At 42.7% G+C, this 20,850-nt stretch overlaps 1 protein-coding gene across 2 annotated transcripts in view, besides 4 other annotated features; it reads left to right on the top strand.

Moving 5' to 3' along the window:
• Window positions 1-11,474, top strand: part of WNT2 (Wnt family member 2) — a 47,608-nt gene extending 36,134 nt beyond the window's left edge. For both annotated transcript variants that reach the window (NR_024047.2, NM_003391.3), the window contains exon 5: window positions 8,541-11,474. Coding sequence is in view for 1 of the 2 variants with exons in the window: in NM_003391.3 (NP_003382.1) it covers window positions 8,541-8,770 (230 nt within the window). In the remaining variant the exon portion in view is untranslated. The remainder of the gene's footprint in view (window positions 1-8,540) is intronic.
• Window positions 182-425: a silencer, noted in NCBI's record as "conserved region 13 (CR13) negative regulatory element (NRE) in the greater CFTR locus". NCBI's record gives its function as "modestly represses an SV40 promoter coupled to the HS2 beta-globin enhancer in the reverse orientation in transfected K562 cells {active_cell/tissue: K562}" and the evidence as "EXISTENCE:reporter gene assay evidence [ECO:0000049][PMID:18436892]".
• Window positions 182-722: a biological region, named in NCBI's record as "greater CFTR locus negative regulatory elements CR12 and CR13".
• Window positions 417-538: a transcriptional cis regulatory region, noted in NCBI's record as "CR12 region containing three CT-motifs that were deleted in the CR12_d3 construct; the nucleotide coordinates are approximate for this feature". NCBI's record gives its function as "necessary for CR12 silencing of a gamma-globin promoter coupled to the HS2 beta-globin enhancer in transfected K562 cells {active_cell/tissue: K562}" and the evidence as "EXISTENCE:reporter gene assay evidence [ECO:0000049][PMID:18436892]".
• Window positions 417-722: a silencer, noted in NCBI's record as "conserved region 12 (CR12) negative regulatory element (NRE) in the greater CFTR locus". NCBI's record gives its function as "strongly represses a gamma-globin promoter coupled to the HS2 beta-globin enhancer in the forward orientation in transfected K562 cells {active_cell/tissue: K562}" and the evidence as "EXISTENCE:reporter gene assay evidence [ECO:0000049][PMID:18436892]".
• Window positions 11,475-20,850: the final 9,376 nt, after the last annotated feature.

The raw sequence follows: 20,850 nt of genomic DNA, 5'->3' as shown, positions 1-20,850 counted from the left end.
ATATGGAAAGCCTCACAGAGTCTGACCAGAACAACTTTAATTCCATTACAAGATTTGCTAATTTAATGGGACATGCTTTCCTGTGCCAGTCAAACTTTTCCAACTTACGAAAACACTGAATAAAATCATCTGAGATAAGTGAAGATATTGTCTTTCCTATGTAGCTTAAGCTGTGCAGTCCAAATGTGAGGAAGGGGTGAGCCTGACCAGTGGATGAATGTGCGGTCTCTAACATTTGCTCTTTAACATACTTTAGTTCCCTCAATAAATCTGTGTCATTAATGACAACATGTAAGACAACCAGAGGAGAAACAGCCTATTGGATGACAGGCTTAAGTGAATCTTGGTTTATGCCCTAATAGTCAACATATGGGCCTCTGTCATCCTAGAGTGGCAGGAATTTCCAGACACAGGTCTATCCAGAGAGAGGGGATGGGGGGAGAAGGAGGTGAGGAGGAGAGGGAGAGATAGAGACAGAGAGAGAATAGGGAGAGAAGGGCGGGGAGAGAGAGAGAAAGAGAGATTGAGAGAGGAGGGACCCCTTCCTCCGGGTCCCAGAGGTATGGGTCTGGGAACTATTAGCAAAAACCCCTCTGTTCCTCCTCTGCTGTCAGCAAGATGCATGTTAGTGGAGACAGAAATGTTTTTACACTGGGAACCCTGACTCCATTATTAATTTTATAGCTCTAGAAATGGGATGCTCAATTCCATCAAGTTCCCTCGGCATTGCTCCACCAAAAGTGTTACATGGTCCCAAACTTATGTGATTTAGAAACTCCAATTCTTTGTCCTTTTTTTTAATCTTATGCATTTGTGAGCTCTTGTGCGAGTCAGGATGACAACACATATGGGCAAGCAAAAGGTCCATCTGGCTGGAAGCAGCTCCTTCCCACAGCACAGACATTGCCAAACCTTAACGACTTTGCCTGGATCTTATAGACACTGGGTTTAGGACGATGATCTCACAATTGTTTGGTATAAAGATGACAAGAAGTTTCGAGTCTGCAACCTTCTGTGTCTGGGAGTTGGGCTCTGGACTCAGGCAGGCCACACATCCTGGGAATACTTCACAAATATAAAGCAAAAGGAAGTCAGGGAAAATGAATTTCCAACTTGTCACTTTCCTCTTAGGTGAACTATGTAAATCAAACTGCAATAAGAAATAACATTATAAACCAACATGAATGATTTTGTAGAACAAACATGTTAAATGTGAAGCATCCAAATATATGTTTATCCTTTTAAAGTATCAATTTGGGAGACTCTAATGATAGGACCGGTAATTGAAACTATTTTTAAAATGTCTCTTCTGGAGTATTTTTAAGAGCCAGCTACACTTGTTTTGTAGATACAGTGTAGTACAAATATTTGTCCTATAAAGATCAAGATGGCTGTTGGAAATGGCTCAGAGAATCTTCAAATGAAGTATGAAGAGTTAGGTAGATGATCAGACTGAGTAATTATATTCTTGATGAGATACAAATTGATGCTATTGGCTTCTCTGAACCAGAAGGTTCTGCCTAGAGAGGGCTCAATGTCCTCAGCATTGGCCACATCAGTGACATATTAAAACCACCTTGAGGGCACACATAATTTGGAGACATGCATCCTGGCATTACAAACAAATTATTCTCATTTCTCTTAAAGGTTACAGGCATCCAGTAGGAATATCAGTATAGGAAAAATGCAGCATGAGCAACTGACACCATGTTAACCCAGTCTTTTTTTCAGTTTCTTACATAACTTTATGTGTTGTAATTGTCTACAGCATATCATGAGCTGAAGAAAAAGGCCCTCTCCCCAAAAAGTTACATGTCAGGATCTTTGCACGTTACTCATTTGATAAAAGAATTAGAAGAGAGTACGGGAAAGACGCTGCTGCACTGGTCACATAATGTTATAAAGCAGGCTGCTTTCTGGTGCCTGGCCGGGCACCAGGACTGGGCACTCGGCAAAGGGTCAGAATGTCACGACTGTCAAGAGCTTGAGCTCTACAGTCAGGCAAGCCTGCTTGCAAATCTTGTCCTTGCCACCAGCTGCCTGTGTGATCTTGGGCAAGTTACTTAATCTTCCTGAATCTCCATTTCCTCATTTCCAAAATGGTGATAATAATAGTACCTTCCTTATAAGCTTATGAGAATTAAATTAGACAATGCAGGCAAAATGCTTAGCATGGGGCCTAGCTCACATAAGTGCTCCATAAATATTGGCTCCAGTTGTGAACAGAAAGAAAAGAAAGAGAGTGAAAAGAAGATAGAGGGAAAGGAAGAAAGAAGAAGAAGGAATGGGAAAAAAAAGTGAGAAAGGATGAATGAACTTTCACTCCATTCAGCTTGGAAAATGTGAAAACTCACCCTTATGGGATTAAGGCTGATAGATGTAGCTGGGTTTGTCTCCCCAGTGGTTCCTGTTGTGGCCCAAGCAAGGGTGAGTGACTCAGTTAACAAGTTTGTATATTATTTGAGAAAAAACATCTAAAAGTATGTGTCCCAAAGATTTAGAACTAAACAAATAGGCAGTTGGTAAAAGTCAGTGGCTCCTTTTCATTAAAACACACACACATACACACATACTCTTGGTTCTTATATTTTATTGGAAACATAATGGTGATGCTTTCTGTTTTGGAAAGACCAATGGAACAGTATGGCCCTACTGCTATTGATAATAATGAGTCTTTATTGTAATTCATTAAGGGGAAAGTAATGCCAGCGATTTTGTATAGATTCTGCACTCTGGAAATGTTCTTTTCAGGGTTTCTATGAAATGGCTGTATGTTCTGCTAAAATGACAGCAAGTGTCAAAACTGCCCTTCTGCCCTACAGCCTGTCATTAGATCTAATTAGATCCAAACCCCCAAACAGGGCCAATTTGTCATCCATCACTAGGCAGCCTCATCCTCCCTTCCAGCTGCAGGGACTGCCCTTTCCCGCCCAGTTGGCCCATTCCTTGGTGCCCCGATGCCTCATGGGGGCCCGTCACAGCTCCAGGCTGCGACCTCACTGCTGTTCTCTCATCAGTGGCTCTCAATCCTCAAAAACCCTCTCTCATTTTCCATCTTCTGGGCCCTCATTATGCCGTTTGGGCAGCCGGTGGAGAGTGGCATGTTCAGATTGTGTTTTCCAGCATTTTATAACTGAACATTGAACTACTGAGACATATTGCCAGAGGCTTTGTTCCCTTTACTGAAACCACTTCTGAGTTAAGCTTTTGTCAATGGTCATAGCTTTGTCTGCTCCTCTCTCTGAGTTCTGATGGTGTTGAGGTCACTACACTGAGCAATCCTTCTGTTCAGACAGTCTGGTTCAGTTTTCTGCATCTGGGGGACAAAAGACACCATGACCATTACAGAAGGCTGAGTCAGACCACAAGCTCAAACCTTCTTAGGCTGGAAGCCACTCAGGAAAGAAAGACTACCAAGTTAGATTTCAGTGAAAGGCCAACAGTCTGAGTCAGGAACGAGACACTTCACCTCCTTATCCTGGCCCCCTTAAGCCCAAAGCCCTACGGCAGATAAAGAATTCTAATGCATGGTACGGTATTCCCATTTTGATAAATACAGATCAGTAGAAGGGAAGAATGTTTACTGCTGCTCAGCGCATGTGAACAATAACAAAAAAGTAAAAATTAAGAGTCACTTCTGGGATACCAAGTGAGAGCACTTTTCACACCCACTGGGGGTCTCATTCACACCCGTGGCTTCAGTTACCACCACTGCACAAAAGATTTCTAAACCTGAGTCTTCATGCCCACCTCTCTCCTGAGTCCCAGAGAGTATTTTCAGCAAACATTTCTACCTGAATGCCCCACAGTCACAGCAAACTCAACCTGTTGAAAACTGAATTCATTATCTTTTCTCTAAGCTGACCCCTAACCAAGTGTCCCCCATGTCAGGGAATTAACAGCACCAACAGTCACTCAGGCCAGAACCTGAGAAACCTTGACTTTTCTCATCCTCCCCCAGTCTCCACTCAGTCACCATGTCCCACAGGTCCTGCCTCCTCACCTTCTCTTGACTCTAGTAACCGCTCCAGTTCCCACTACCACTGTCTTAATCCAGGCCACTCATGTCCTGCCCAGAGTCTGTATTGGTCTCTAACTTGTCTTCTTGTCCTCACTCCAGCCCCCTCCACTTCATTCCAGCCCCACACCCTTGGAGATCCTTCTGAAACACAAATGAGAACATGTTGCCCTTTTGTGTGAAGGCCCTTAATAGCATTCTGTTGCCCTCAAGGTCAAGTTGAAACCCCTTGACCATTCCCAGTGCAGCTTCCCCTCACCACTCCAGCCTCATCTCCTGACACTCTCCCCTTTGAGTACTGTATACCAGCCACAGGGAACACTTTCCTGCTCCTCACACGTTGCAGAGCTTTGCTCATTTCCTGGCCTTGGCACATGCCACCATTGCTTTCTCCTTCTCTTCCTCCTCCTCTTCCTTTTTCTTCTTTCTCCTCCTCCCCCTCCTCCTTCCTCTCCTCCTCTTTCTCCTCTTCCTCTTCTCTTCCTCCTCCTTGTCTTCCTCCTCCTCTTCCTCTTTCCCTTCTTCCTCTTCCCCTTCTTTCTCCTCCCTCCCCTTCTCCTCTTCCTCTACCACCTTCTTCTTGTTATTGAAATATGAAATGCAGAAGAGTGCCCACATTCCATGTGTACAGCACAATGAATTTTCACAAATGGACACACCCACATGACCTGTGCCCAGATAAAAAACCTGAAGGGGCCCAGTATTCCAGAGGCATGTCTCATGCTCTTTTTCTCTATTCCCCAAGGAAAATCACCTCCTTTTAATAGCAATGACTAGTTTTTCCCATTTTTGTACTTTAGGTACATGAAAACCTAATCTGAAATGAAAACCTTGTGCAGATATCTACTGCTGCAAAACATACCACTGGAAAATGTAATGGCCTAAAATAATCTTAAAGTCCCACCCTTGCTTTTATCACCACTCTTGGCCCTACTCTCTTTCATCCTCTTCATCACCAAGCCTCTTGAAAACTTTACCTACACTCACTGTCCCCATGTCCTCTCCTCCACCACATTCATCTATGTCATCCACTGAAACTGCTCTCATCGAGGGCGCCAGTTACCTCCTTGGTGTGCAGCCAAATTAACTTTTTTTTAGTCTTTTCCTACTTGACACTCCCTCTACTCCTTAATTCAATGAGTCATCAAGTTCTAGTGGTTCACCCTCTTCAGCCAATCATGTATTTGTTCTGCTTGTTTCTTCACGCAATATCTCTTGTCTGAAGTATTCCAACAGCCCTCCTCCCTGCCCTAAGCTGCTCTTCCAGACTTACCTTCGCGACCTAGTTTTCAGAATTAAAGGTCTAGACAGGTCCACCACCCACCTTGTAATAAAAATCAAACTGTGGCATGGCATAAAGACCCTTTAGGCCAGGCGTGTGAGTCACGCCTGTAATCCCAGCACTTTGGTGGGGGTCAAAGCAGGAGGATCGCTTGAGCCCAGGAGTTTGAGACCAGCCTGGGCAACATGGCAAGACCCTGTCTCCACAGAAGATACAAAAATTAGCTGGATGGGGTGGTGTGTGCCTGTAGTCCCAGCCACTTGAGAGGCTGAGATGGGAGAATTCCTTGAGCCCAGGAGGTCGAGGCTCTAGTGAGCCATGTTCGTGCCACTGCCCTCAAGCCTGGGTGACAGAGTGAGACCCTGTCTCAAACAACAATAACAACAACAACAACAGACCCTTTAACCTGTTGCTCCAGCCTCCCTTTCTATGCTCATTGTCCCTAATAGCCTCCCTGAATCAGCAGTCTGTTGTGAACTTGCCCTCAGAATTTCTGCCAGAAGGTTCTATCTTGCCCAGGTTGCTGTTTACCCCATTCTTTACCTGCAAATCTTCTAGTCATCCTTTACACCTATCTCTAATGCTACCTCCTCTGTAAAACTGTGCAGTTGATGGATCTATTTGCTACTATTAATACCAAGAAATATCACTATTATAATATGCTTGGCTCATGCCCTTAGAACATAAGCTCCTGAGGGCAGGATCTTCATTTTTTTTCTCTGATATATCCCATGTTCCCAGAACTGTGCCTAGCACATAGTAGTCACTCAATAAACACTTGCTAGATGAAGATATGGATAGTTAACATTTATTGAGCACTTATTTTATGCCAGGCACTTTCATGCACTATCTCATTATGTTCTCACCAAAAGCTCTATGATGAAAGAACTATTTTTATTCCAGTTTTGCACAGGAGGAAACTGAAGCTTAACAAGTTTAAGTAACTTGCCCAAGGCCACACAGTTGATACATGGCAAATCTGGGATTTGAACGCTGATTGTCCAAGCTCTAAATAACCTCATTTGACTGTCTTTGAGCTCTGTTTGCTGTGGTGCTTTGCACATGACTGTACTGTGGGTTACAGTAGGTCCTTAGCAAATCAAACAACCCAAAGTAGTGGAAGTATCTCTTTACATATTTAACTCTGCGCCATATAGAGGGTTCACTGAGAATAGGAACTTGGTCCTATTTATTTTATTCTCCCTTGTGCCCCAAGCCCCAAGCAGCTGGCACAGTGTCTTACATATGTTTATGTTCACTAAATGTTTACTGAATGAAATAATGGGTGTGCTGTGAAGAGGCAGCATTTGGCAGTGAGTCCTTTCTGCATAATCAGTAAATTTTGAGGACTGTCCTGATGGCTGCCTGGAATCCAAGCTGAGCTGCTGCCTCTTCTAACCCCATGCTTCTTCAGCACGATGCAGGCTCGGAGCCATCCCTGGCTGACCCACCCTCCACCCTGACCCCGGCCTTTTGCCATCCTTCCTGTCCTCATGAAGTTCCCCGGCCAGTCTTCCTGCTCTCCGCCGCCAATCATTCTGACCAAACGCTGCCCCACCCTCTCCTCTTCTTGACCCCGTGCCCTGCTTGAACCTTGCTGCTTCCCTGGTCATCCCGAACAGGCAGGGCAACATGACATTTCTGTAGATAATTCCAACACAGAGCGGACTGTGATAAACAGAGAGACAGTCACGAGGCATCGTCAGAGATATCAAAAGGAAGACATTCCTAGTTAAATGATGGAGAAACTGAAAATGAATTAAGTCACTGTCTTTTTCATCCTGATATAAGTCGTTTTGTTTTGTTTTTTAAATAAGAGTTTAGCTTCTCTAGGTTTATCAATTAGGTGGGATTGTTGATAGCAAGCAATAGAAACTGGGACAGTTTAAGCCACAAGGGGAAGCTTCTTATAAGGATACAGAGTCTCTAGGAACTCAAACGTTCGAATGCAGTCAGGCCTCAGGGAGAAATGGAAGCAGAACCAGAAAATAGTCCAGGATCTGGGCAGCATTTCTTTCCATGTCTTGTCTTCACTGTCACTGTATATTTGCTTCATTTCTGTTTTTCTGTGGACCTCCTCGAGTCCACAGACCTCACCATGGTGTACAGCTGCCAACAGCAACTAAGTGGCAATAGTGATCATCTGTGTCAAAATCACAAATCAACAGAGAATTTACCTGATTGGCCCAGCACAAGTCAGTTGATTGCCCCTGGTCCAATCATTGTTCACCAGTGAGCAGGGTGATGTTATACAACATGGCTGCCAGGTGCCCATCTCTGTGGGGGAGGAAGTAGAAAGGATCATGGTAAGCCCAGCATACTCTCCCAAAATGTCTACAATGCTTTGTTCTGTTGTCTGATAATGTGCTTATAAAAGAATTCTGAGTGCGTCCCCAAGAATAGAGTAAATGAATAAAAGGCTTTCTAGCTTTAAAATTATTTTTCAGAAACAAATACTTAAATATGGATTGCCATTTAGCAAACATCACCCTGATTAACTAAGACAATATTCCATTGGTAATTCCTGGCAGATTTTCTATGCCAATTTTGTTTATTGAAGGCCTTGAATCCTGGCTTCGCCTGGGACCTCACACACATCTATATGTCCTGCTAGACTGCAGCAGGAGAGACAGTTAATATGATAAACCTGGTGGGGCCTTTCTCCTTCCTCAGGGTCTCACACAAATGATGCCCATGTCTCCTCTTCAGAACCAGAGTTCTATTCCCTTTCTCATAAGCCAGTGTAATCAGGTCTATGGAGATAAAATTCCCTCCCTTTGAGGGCTCCATGCCCTGACAAATTTGAAGAGAGCTAACCTTGGTCACTGCTTCCTTAATGTGGTTTGAGGTAGGGAGAAGGAGCCAGGATGGATCCTTCTTTTATTCTGATCTGGCTCTGCTCGATCAAGGATCCTTAAATTCAAGGCTGGGTAAGGATAATCTGAAAAGTCGATCCAACTCAGAAGTGGGAGAGCTGGATTCAGGGTGTCCAAGGAAATCCAAAGTTTCATGTTCACCTTTTTGGGACTCGGCCCTCTCAGCACCACTGCACTCTCTGCAGCTGGCATAATGGGATTTGCACACATGGCATGGGCCCACAGAACGAGTATAACAGCCCCAGGCTGTAGGAAGAGAGGGTCAGGGCTCTGTCCTGGAGGATGGACCTCGTGACTCCTCCTCTGGAGGCATATTGGATTCCACCCAGACCTTTTCAGTAACACTCCCTGGCTTGTCTTCCAGGCTCCCTGGGTACAGCAGGCCGTGTGTGCAACCTGACTTCCCGGGGCATGGACAGCTGTGAAGTCATGTGCTGTGGGAGAGGCTACGACACCTCCCATGTCACCCGGATGACCAAGTGTGGGTGTAAGTTCCACTGGTGCTGCGCCGTGCGCTGTCAGGACTGCCTGGAAGCTCTGGATGTGCACACATGCAAGGCCCCCAAGAACGCTGACTGGACAACCGCTACATGACCCCAGCAGGCGTCACCATCCACCTTCCCTTCTACAAGGACTCCATTGGATCTGCAAGAACACTGGACCTTTGGGTTCTTTCTGGGGGGATATTTCCTAAGGCATGTGGCCTTTATCTCAACGGAAGCCCCCTCTTCCTCCCTGGGGGCCCCAGGATGGGGGGGCCACACGCTGCACCTAAAGCCTACCCTATTCTATCCATCTCCTGGTGTTCTGCAGTCATCTCCCCTCCTGGCGAGTTCTCTTTGGAAATAGCATGACAGGCTGTTCAGCCGGGAGGGTGGTGGGCCCAGACCACTGTCTCCACCCACCTTGACGTTTCTTCTTTCTAGAGCAGTTGGCCAAGCAGAAAAAAAAGTGTCTCAAAGGAGCTTTCTCAATGTCTTCCCACAAATGGTCCCAATTAAGAAATTCCATACTTCTCTCAGATGGGAACAGTAAAGAAAGCAGAATCAACTGCCCCTGACTTAACTTTAACTTTTGAAAAGACCAAGACTTTTGTCTGATCAAGTGGTTTTACAGCTACCACCCTTAGGGGTAATTGGTAATTACCTGGAGAAGAATGGCTTTCAATACCCTTTTAAGTTTAAAATGTGTATTTTTCAAGGCATTTATTGCCATATTAAAATCTGATGTAACAAGGTGGGGACGTGTGTCCTTTGGTACTATGGTGTGTTGTATCTTTGTAAGAGCAAAAGCCTCAGAAAGGGATTGCTTTGCATTACTGTCCCCTTGATATAAAAAATCTTTAGGGAATGAGAGTTCCTTCTCACTTAGAATCCGAAGGGAATTAAAAAGAAGATGAATGGTCTGGCAATATTCTGTAACTATTGGGTGAATATGGTGGAAAATAATTTAGTGGATGGAATATCAGAAGTATATCTGTACAGATCAAGAAAAAAAGGGAGAATAAAATTCCTATCTCATATTATGCATGTGACCCATGGAATCTCATAACTGAAAGACTTGAAGGATGAAAATTTTGGGGATACAAGATTGGTGAACTAAAATGCTGACAGAGAGGTTTCCAGAGCTAACTCGTGCCTGGGGCGGCCTTACAATAAGCAGATGCCTGAAAGAAGTCGGCCACGTCCGCCGTCTGCTAATGCCCATCACCCTTCAAGCCCAGTTTAAAGACCTGTCATATTTAATTGTATTTATTTGATGCTTACAAGATGATGTGATACTGTAGCCTAAAGCAAATGACACATAGCATTGCTTATAAAGTTGGTAACCCTGCTATATTATATTGCAAACAAATCGTAACTTGGAGACTATGTTTAAGGGACTCAACTGTAATTATGGGAGCATCAGTATGCAAATAGTGGTTGGCTTCTGCCATCAGCCAAAAGATGACATTCAGGGAAAATGGAGAGGCTGCCTGCACCGTTTTTTTATGTTAAATGAAAGAAAGGTGAAATAGCTACTTCTCGTCTTCTTGAAAAATTTGGTTCTTATTCTGTATATGACTTCCTTACAGTGCTACATTAACAGGATATTTCATTACATGCATCTGGTATCAAATTATTGGTTCTTCCTCATTCTTTAATACCATACAGTAAGGTCATTTAGACTGAGACTCGTACAAAACAACCTACTGGAGTACTTTGCCATAGTTAACATTTGCCTCCAGCCCTCTTAAAAATGTCAGAATTCATCCCCTTTCCCTCATTCCCAAATTGTTGTCTAACTTTTCCAAAGTGACTCTTTCCTCCTTTTATTCTATGGATTCGGATGGTGGGAACAGTGGAATGACAGTAGCTGCTCTGAGCTTGGTGTGAAGAAGGCCAGGCACATGGGCAGCTGCTCAGTCTTCAGTTACCCTGAAGGTTGGTGTGAATTCCTTCATGAGAGTGCGAAGGCACTTTCATGGGGGTCCCACAGCCATCAGCCCTTCCTCCTGCTGGATGAACTGTGAAATCATCAATCCAGGCTGTGTTTCAAATTGGAAAGGATCTTAGGAGACATCTCAGCTTCCTTTAGTTTGGGGAAATTGAGACCAAGAGAGGCGAAGGGATTGGTGCACATATCAGGCATTGCCCAATGCTCCATCACAAATAGGACCACACTCTTGAGTGTTTGAGATAGTGTAGGACTTTATCCATTAAATGAAACTAGCTTCTCCCAGAATTAACTCAGTGGATTTTAAATAATTTTAGCTTCCAATGGTGTGTTTGCTACTTTTTTTATGCCTGGTATGTTTAGATCTGACATTCTTTTTATGCTGAGATATATCCCTCCTGGTAAGTAGCAAGGGGACAAGGATATCCACGTAGGAACCTACATAAATTGTCCTAATCCATAAGGGAGATTATGGCAACCATCGCAAGTGGCAGTGGGTCCTGCCACTGAGGTGGGAAAAATAAGAGAATGAAATATTGCTATCGGCTTTTACTTCTGAAAGAGGAAATGTCTATTGTTCGGGAAAAAAATTACACAACAAATGAAGGTAATTTTAAACTCCTTTGCCTTAGAGCTTGGTAGAGGATCAGTATTCCAGGAACCTGAAATACACTGAAACTCTCAATTATCTGAGGCTTTTAAGGGGAATATATGGCACAAATTAGCCAAAACAAAATAATTGGGAAATCCCCTTATAAATTCCCTCTTTATTAAAATCTTACTATAAATTGAAGTTTTCTAGGTCCAAGATAATGTCCATTAATTTTCTACAATATCTGAAAAAGTTTCCACAATAGGACATAAACTAGTTCACTGGAGTTTTCTACAATAAAGATATAATCTGCACGTGACCCTGAGACTGAGCATATAAGTTGTTTTCTTCAACAGATTTGGTTCTGTAAGTTGGTTCATGGTGCTGACTGATATTTGTCTCTATTCTCGGAACACACTTTGTCAATGTGCATTCAGTTTCAGCATCTTGGGTAGCCCCCCAAGGCCTGAAAGAGTTAATGCTCTGCCTTAAGAGATCGATTTATCCACTCAAGTGACTTAAGCTCAAGCACGCTAGTCCCCAGTGCCATGACCACACTAAGCTCTGGCTCTGTGCCCCTCAGGGATGAGAGAGAGCTCTGGCATGTTACTGGACTACAGATGTCTCAGAAGGGAAGCAGGAGAGGCATAGGGCAACCCAGAATGCTATCTGCTCTCCCTTCTCCAGGTGTCACCAGATTGAAATAAACATCTGAAAAGAGGGATCTATCATGTGGCATCTGGGTGGCACCAGATGTTGGGAGGGAACGTGAGAGGGAAAGAACCTGGTAACTTTTGCCAGGTGACTGGCCAAGCTTGGTGATCAAGGGCAGTGGCTTTTTCCAGGCCAGGCACAGTGGCTCATGCCTGTAACCCCAGCACTTTGGGAGGCCAAGGCGAGTGGATCACTTGAGGTCAGGAGTTTGAGACTAGCCTGACCAACATGGTGAAACTCCGTCTCTACTAAAAATACAAAAATTAGCCAGGCGTGGTGGGTGCCTGTAATCCCAGCTACTCAGGAGGCTGAGGCAGGAGAATCACTTGAACCCAGGAGGCGGAGGTTGCAGTGAGCAGAGATAGCGCCATCGCACTCCAGCCTGGGTGACAGAGTGAGACTATGTCTCTTAAACAAAATGGGGGGTGGGGGCCAGTGGCTTTTTCTGCTTTTGTTGGTAACCCCCACCTTTCTTCCTGCTGTCACTTCCCTGTCCCTACATTCAGCACCTACTTCCTGAGCCATCATGAGGCCCACTGGGCTCAGGGACCCCAGCCATGGCTCAGATTGTCCATACCTATTGTGTAGCTCTGTTCCAGGCAGCCAATATTAATTTCAAGAGGTGTTTTGAAATGGTCACAACTGTATTCTTTTTTTAACTAGAATTATTACAAAGTCTGAAAAAAAATCAGGCATTACATTTCTTTTTCAAAGAAGGTAGCTTTAAAGTCAGAAAATCCAGTTTCACATCGACGTTTCTAGGCCATATTAATTTATGAAGGAACCTCACATCAACTCTAACAGACCTAAAGCAGGGCTGTCTCAGAAGCGGACAACATGACCGTGCATGCGCTTTCCTGGCCGGCTTGTTCAGGCGGGTTATTGTTATTACTTCTGGGTTATTAAAAGCTGGCCCGGGGCTGTTGTCTCGCTCAGCTGAAAAACATTCATCTCTCCTCTTGCCGACTCTCAAAATAAAGGCTCAGAGGGGTGTCCAATGGACCAGAACCATTCTTTCGTGTCTATTTACTGTACCTCAACGTGGGTTTCCTTATCTTAAGAGCAAGAGTTGTACTCAACAAATAAACCTTGCCAGTTCCAAAGCTGGTAAATAGCTTTTGTCAGGTCCACACTGAGCCTCTGAAAAGCAATCTGCTGGTGGGAGCTGACAGCTAAGCTGTGCGTCTTTTGACCTTCTCCTTATCTAGGCAGAGAAAATTTTCACTCATCCATGAGACTGTTCTTTACATTTTTCTGGGGATCAGCAAGGTGACAGGTGGTTTGCAAAACCCAACATGATTATTATTTTTCTAAATCATAGTTGTTCCAGCTCTAGCTTTCTTCCCCCCAATATTCACATGGATTCCTGTTTAACCAAACCTCCCACTTCCACTAGCTAATAAAAGTGTCATGCAGATTGTTACAAAGAACTATTGTTATTTACAAGTCTACGTTTTCTTTGAAATCAAAACATAATAAAGTGAATTTTCAGTGTTAACTCTGTTATTTTAAACTCATGGTAGTCTTGCCAAACCCTCTGGTGAAAAGAAGTCCCTGCAGGTTATGGGAACTATTCCCTTGTCTTTTCTCAGGACCGTACTTCAAACAACTCAATCAAGAGGCATCTTTCAAGTTTGTAAAGATGTTCAAGGAAGGCAATTGACTTGCCTCACTGATAGCTATTCTTGTGAGTTGATTGGTAAGACTTAGGTTAAAAATTGAGAAATTATGCCACATTTTCGCCCTGTGTTTTCCTGTGTGCACCAATCTGAGTGCTTGCCCTCTCTTGATGTTAGCATGTTTTGTCAGTGTTTATACATTTGGTGTCTTTCCCTAGCAGCTAACTCACACCCATCAACTTCTCAAATTATTGCGTTCCCTGTAAGTGCTGACTCTGGGTTGAAATAGCATTTTCTCTGCTTGGTGAGAAACATGGAGCATCCCTTGCCTGGTTACTGAAATCTGTGCATCCTGATTTTGGGGGCTACTTCTATCAAGCAGTAAAAGCTCAGAAAATGGGAATAAACTCTCCTCTGAAAAGGAAGTCCGCCCTCCCCACTTTTTCCTCTCAGATGAGCTATATTTTGGGGCAACCTGGCTGACTAAGGCACGGGTTCTGCACTTCAAGCACCGCATTGTAGCCCCGTGATTAGACTGCACACTGTCCCTCTAGGATTCCATCCACCCATCTGGAAACTACCACACCTACTTAGATGATCTGAAAAAGAGAGAGTGGCCGGGTGTGGTGGCTCATGCCTGTAATGCTAGCACTTTAGGAGACCAAAGCAGGAGGATCACTTAAGGCCAGGAGGATCACTTAAGGCCAGGAGTTTAAGACCAGCCTGGGCAAAATAGCAAGACCCCTGTCTCTACAAAATAAAATAAAATAAAATTAGCTGGGTGTGATGGCACACACCTGTAGTTCTAGCTACTTAGGAGGCTGAGGTGGGAGGATGACTTGAGCCCAGTAGTTTGAGGCTACAGAGAGCTATGATGGTGCCACTTCTCTCAAGCCTGGGCAATACAGCAAGACCCTATATCTTAAAAAATTCAAATAAAAAGGGGTGGTGATTCATGTGTCTTTGTGTGTTTTTCAAAGGACATCTCCCCCAAATATTTTTGCCCTGAAATTGTCAATGAAATTTTCCTGTTTTCTAACTTCTTGTGTGACAGGGCTGTCCTAACATTGTAGGATGTTTAGAAGCAACCCTAGTCTCTACCCCCCAACTATATGCCAGAAGTAACTCCCTTGACTCCCTGCTGTGACAACCAAAAATGTCTCCAGACATTGCCAAATGTTCCCCAGGGAAGGAAGGAGGGGTGAGAGTGAAATTGTTCTCAGTTGAGAACCACTGGTCTAACACTTTGGGTTAAGCCCTCTATTAAAATGCAAGCCACTTTCGGTTAGGAACACCTCATCGGGAACATTAGTTGAATGGGATTCCTTCTTAGTATTAATGTATCAGGCTTCCTAGGAAGGAATCTTTAGGAAAAGGGGTAGTTGTGAAACCCCTCAGCATCATGGGGCAGAATAAAAAAGGCTAAAACTTGACTGGAAGCTCCTGTAGGCCCGCACTGTGTGTCCCTGGAGTCTGTGCAAGCGTGAGGCTCCTGGGTTTCTAGGATGGGCATTAACTGTGGGGAATCAGACAAAGGATGGAAGGGTAACAAGGAGAAACAATAATGTGGTTTTAGAAGCTGGAGGCAGAGTTTTTAGGAATTCTTCAGTTTCACAATACTCTCAGTGGGAAAAACAAAAACAGAAAACCCCAAATCCCCAAGATACATATGCCTGGAAAGGTGGAGGAGTGAGAACAGCAGACATCTGCAGCGAATAATTAAACACTTTTGAGTTGCTCAAGATAGTCAGCAGGGAGAGTAATAATGAGGAGGAGACCCTGCAAAATGAAGAAAGTCTGGGTTTCAAGTGAAGAGAGAGAATTTCAAGTTTAAGGTCAGGATGGGTCTCATTTGCAGTTTGTTCATTGAAACGCCCCTCCTCACTGCCAGTTGCCCCACCACGTGTACCCTTGGTGTGGTCCAGCTGATATTTTAGCAGAGAACAAACTGAAATACTGTCTAATGTGTGCCAGTAAAGGGTGGGAAACGGGGAGCACATGCTGGAGGTAAAATGAAGTAGAGTGCAGAAAAAAAAAACCAACAGTGTGGGTGGTGGACAACAAGATGGGTAACCCTAGGCTGGGCGCAGTGGCTCACGCCTGTAATCCCAGCACTTTCAGAGGACAAGGCAGGCAGATCACTTGATGTCAGAAGTTTGAGACCAGCCTGGCCAACATGGTGAAATCCTGTCTCTACTAAAAATACAAAAATTAACCGGACGTGGTAGCACAAGCCTGTAATCCCAGCTATTCGGGAGGCTGAGACAGAAGAATCACTTGAACCTGGGAGGCAGAGGTTGCAGTGAGCCGAGATTGACCACTGCACTCCAGCTTGGGCAACTGGGGGAGAGTCTGTCTCAAAGAAAAAAAGAAGGGTAACCCCAGCTGGCTGGAGAATCTGGGGCAGTTGACAACTGACAGAAGTAATCAGAAAGCCTGTCTTTGCCATGACAATTCATGGGCGAAACTGAATTTATATTTTATGCTGCCCAACGAAGTAACGATCAGACAAGAACCGCTTGGATGAACAAATAGTTCGTGATCTGTTCCTTCATGGTATTATCTAGTTCTAGATAAGAGCATGATTAAAATCTGATCAACATGATCAATTTAACATGTAGGCTATTTTTGGACCCTTAACTTGATTTTGTAATTTCTGGGTAGTGACTGACCCCGTGAAAGCCCCTGTAATTGAATCATAGGCCCTGGATTTCCCCAGGCAGTTCACCCAGTCCTCTTTTAATAGCATCGTAGGCCTTCCTAAGTTCCACAGACGAGAGGAGTCACATTACTGCCCGTAAACCCAGTTCAAATAATTAAATGACGAAGATGCAACCAGGATTCACTCAGCTGGACTGCTCACACTGGTGACTTAAGCAGAGGCTGGGGAGCGTCACAAACCCATCTGTAAATGTTTAGGTGCTTCAGGTTACAGGTGGAGGTCGCCCACCAGCCGAAGAAATAGCAGGAAAAACAGAAAACAAAATCTGACTCGGTGTCTCCAAAAGTCTACCCACCCATATAATCTTTGGCATCTGCCCCAGGATCATTATTCTCCAATAGTAATGAAGGCTTCATGAAAGGCCTCGAACCCTGAATTGTCATTTTGGAATCGTGCTTAATCAAGACAAATATTCCCAGCCTAAGAGTACAACTAGAAGGAGAAGGGAGTACGGGTTTAATTTTCCTATATATTGCTGTAACTATAAACAATGCCTTATCTTCTCAGCAACTCTCATGAAATAATAAGCACTTGTGTTTTTAAAAGTATTTACACCAGCCCTTGGAGATTTTATTAGAATCATGATTCACAGATGAGAAATTTTCCTCTTCTACAGGATTTAGTAACTGGAGTAAGAATTACTCAGCAGACTGTCTATACAGACAAATGAATTTGAATATTTCCTTTGGCTATTAGCCATTCATTGGCAAATTTCTTTTAATTTTTCTGAACCAACGGAATGAGCAAGTCAAGATGATTCCCCTGATCTATATATTGTAGACAGATAATTAAACAGTTTCTGAAAATTATTATTGTTCTGTCATACAGATATGGGACTTCAACACAGCAGTGAGTTTACATGACACTTCAGGATCCCGAGAGTGAAAATTCCTGGCATCACAGAATGTCACATTTGGAAGGAACTTTGCAGATTATTTATTCCAACCTCCAGATGTTATTCATGGGAAAACAAAAGAAACTTCATGATTCGAACTGTGATATGAGCAAGACACTCTGAATCATCTTCAGGGAAGAACAGTTATTATTCATTCAGTAAGGCTGTATTGAGCATCTCCTATGAGTCAACCACTGTGCTACGTACTGGAAATGTAATGGTGACTAAGACAAACATACACTTGCTCAGAACCTTCTGGAAGGACTAACACCGAACACTTTTCCTTTTACTTGACAAGCACTTTGTAAAGTACTTGGATTGGATTTGGTGCTTAGAACCACCCTTAGATACGGATATTGAGATGAGCCAAGTTTCAGATATGGTAATTTGCTCCAGGTAATAAAAGACTTATAAGCATATAAGAGGCACAGCCTGAACTCAAGTATTTGTCTTCTAACTCTCACTCCAGTGTCCTTTCTAGTATACCAGAGCTCCCTGTGATTAGAACTCAATGAGTATTCATTCGTCCAACTGGCTATTGAAAATGACCAGTTCAATGATCATATTCTCTAAGCAAAAAAGAGGATACATGGATGGCCAAAATATTTCCATGATTTTTATTTAATTTATATGAAATTTAGATAGCAAATCATATGTAGGTACATACTGAACATAACTCTAACGGAAAGTAACTTTGAATTATACACAACAGGCACTTTTCCTTAAAATAAAATAAGCCAGGCACAGTGGCTCACGCCTGTAATCCCAGCACTTTGGGAGGCCAAGGTGGGCAGATCACCTGAGGTCAGGAGTTCAAGACCAGCCTGGGCAACATGGTGAAACACTGTCTCTACTAAAAATACAAAAATTAGCTGGGCATGGTAGCAGGTGCCTGCAATCCCAGCTACTCGAGAGGCTGAGGCAAGAGAATCGCTTGAAACCGGGAGGCAGAAGTTGCAGTGAGCCAAGATGGCACCATTCTACTCTAGCCTAGGCGACAAGAGTGAAACTCAGTCTTAAAAAATAAAATAAAATAGTTTTTAGATTCTTGCAGAAAATCTGAGATTTCTGGTCATGAGAAACCTGCTTTCTCTGTCATGTAGAGAGTCAGTCCCTAGTTGATGATGGTTCTAAAATACTATGTATCAACTTAGACATGGTATGAATCATAATTTAAGAGTTTTCTCCAAGCCTCTGCCTAATGCTTGATTAATCAGATTGAATTAACATGTCAATAATTTAAAAAATATTTTTCATAGTAATCTTGCCCTCTCATTGAAGAAGGAAGAATTTTCTTAGCAACAATGTCTAAGAAATATTTTTCAGACTTGCTTTCAAATGTAACGATGTATTTTAAAATATTTTAAAGGCAAAAACTACATGTAAATATGATATTGGCATCTATTAACGATAAGATTTTTGCTTCCTGTAACATGAAGTATGGGTGTTCTTTCTCTTCATAAAGGAAACTGGGAAGATTTGTACAATACTAGATTATTGGATAATGCTTCTAGAAACAAAAGGTAATCTCTCCCCTTCTGATATGATTTGGCTGTGTCCTCAGCCAAATCTCATCTTGAATTGTAGCTCCCATAATTCCCATGTGTTGTGGGAGGTACCCTGTGGAAGATAATTGAATCATGGGGGGCGGTTTCCCCCATACTGTTCTCATGGTAGTGAATAAGTCTCATGAGATCTGATGGTTTTATAAGGGGTTTCCCTTTTCACTTGGTTCTCATTCTCTTTTGCCTGCCATCATGTAAGACTTGCCTTTTGCCTTCCACCATGCTTATGAGGCCTCCCCAGCCTTGTGGAACTGTAAGTCCATTAAACCTCTTTTTCTTTTGAATTACCCAATCTCGGGTATGTCTTTATCAGCAGAGTGAAAACAGACTAATACACCTTCTAATCTAGAAACAGTCCAGCAGGGATGAACATAGGTTCCTAGCACTGACCTCCAATTGATATCCAGTTGACTGGTCACTTAGTCCAAACTTGTGATTGGGGTTGTTTCTGATGGTGGCCAAATTAATAAAAGGGAAACCTGTTCAGAAAGTAGGGGAACCAAGGACAAGTCCTCACATGAATATCTGAGGAGTGAAGGCAAGTGAGGGAATCTTTGTATAAATGAAATCTTAAACAAGGGGTCAAAGGAGAGGATGGAGAATTTTTATTATAATTATTCTAAAAGTATATGGAATAGATTTACACTCATGTTTATTCATGATGGGGAAAAAAACTGTCCCCAGTTATGCATTTTAATCTGTGAGAAAGCTGTTAAGGAATGTGAGATCATGAAGAAGGCGGTATGTTAAATAAGTAAATAAAATCTAGGGAGTTTAATCCTTCCTAGAATTTGATTCTTTTTTTTAAATCAACTTTTATTGTATTCAAATGATTCATTCTTTTGGAGCAATAAATAGAGTGAGACGATGGCCAAAGGAAATTTTTCTATTCCTTGGACATGTAAGCCTTTTTCCTAATAGCAACTATAGCAGAATCAGACCCCTAGGTAGAATATATTAACACCCATGACAGGGAACAACTCATCTCCAAGTATCATTTTCCTTTCATTGTCCTTGAACAGTGCCTAAAATCCCCATCCTTACTGCTGCTGCCTGGAGTTAAGAATCTATCTTCTGAAAATTTCTTCTAAAATATGTGGATGTTATCCAGCTTTATTCCTTAATTCAACAATTATTTATTCAACAAATATCTGGTACAATTTACAATCTGCCAAACATTTTTCCCTAGTGTTTGGGAAACACCATAGCATAAGATAAATGAAATAAATGAGACATAAATATTTCTGGTAATATGGCATACCAAATATTTCTCAAAAAAGCCCCTGGCTACAAATGCCTAGAAATTTTGCATAAAGTAAAATAAACATCTTTTGAAATGTATAAGTGTACTCTCCCAACCTTCAGTCTCTAATATAGGAAAGCTCCAAAGACCAAAATGAAGAGAAAGCTGAAAATCCAAGTTTCGGTACCCCAATAGAAGTTGACTAATGTTTCTGTTTAGATGTTTGGGTTTTGAAGACCACGTTGGTGTAGGAAATAAAGCTAAAGTCAAACTCTTCAAAGAGCTATGTATTTAATAAAGGAAAAACCTGACCACAACCTCAGGGAATCAGCAAAGAACTAGTCTGTTGTAAAATAGAATTGTAATAGAGAAAATGTGTCCTCTGACCATTTACAGCTGACATGCTCTTCTCACCTTATTCTGATGTTAGAATTTACATAATTTGTATATGCCAGGAATTGTTTAATTAAGAAATCAACCTTTAAATACTTTCTGGATTGAGCAGATGCAAAGGCAAAACCTCCTTGAAGCTCACATTTTTAACCAGGCTGAAGGGGATTCCCACAGATAAAAATTTCACCAAACCTGAGTTCATAATTCAAAATTACAAAACATACCACAAAATAAGCCACCATGATGAAGAGTCATAGAACAAACAAATCATAGACTTAGACTCCCAAGAATATTAGATAATAAAATTATTACAGACTGATTATATAAATAAATCTGTTTAGAACAATAAAATTAAAAATGAACAATACATAAATAAGGTACATAATATTTAAAGAAAAAAGATGGGCCAGGCGTGGTGGCTCACACCTGTAATCCCAGCACTTTGGGAGGCTGAGGTGTGCAAATCACCTGAGGTCAGGAGTTCAAGACCAGCCT

The sequence above is a fragment of the Homo sapiens genome, chromosome 7 (genome assembly GCF_000001405.40).
Source record: "Homo sapiens chromosome 7, GRCh38.p14 Primary Assembly".
Lineage (NCBI taxonomy): Eukaryota > Metazoa > Chordata > Mammalia > Primates > Hominidae > Homo > Homo sapiens.
Note: the sequence above shows the minus strand (reverse complement) of the source record. Positions and strands in the feature narration are given on the sequence as shown.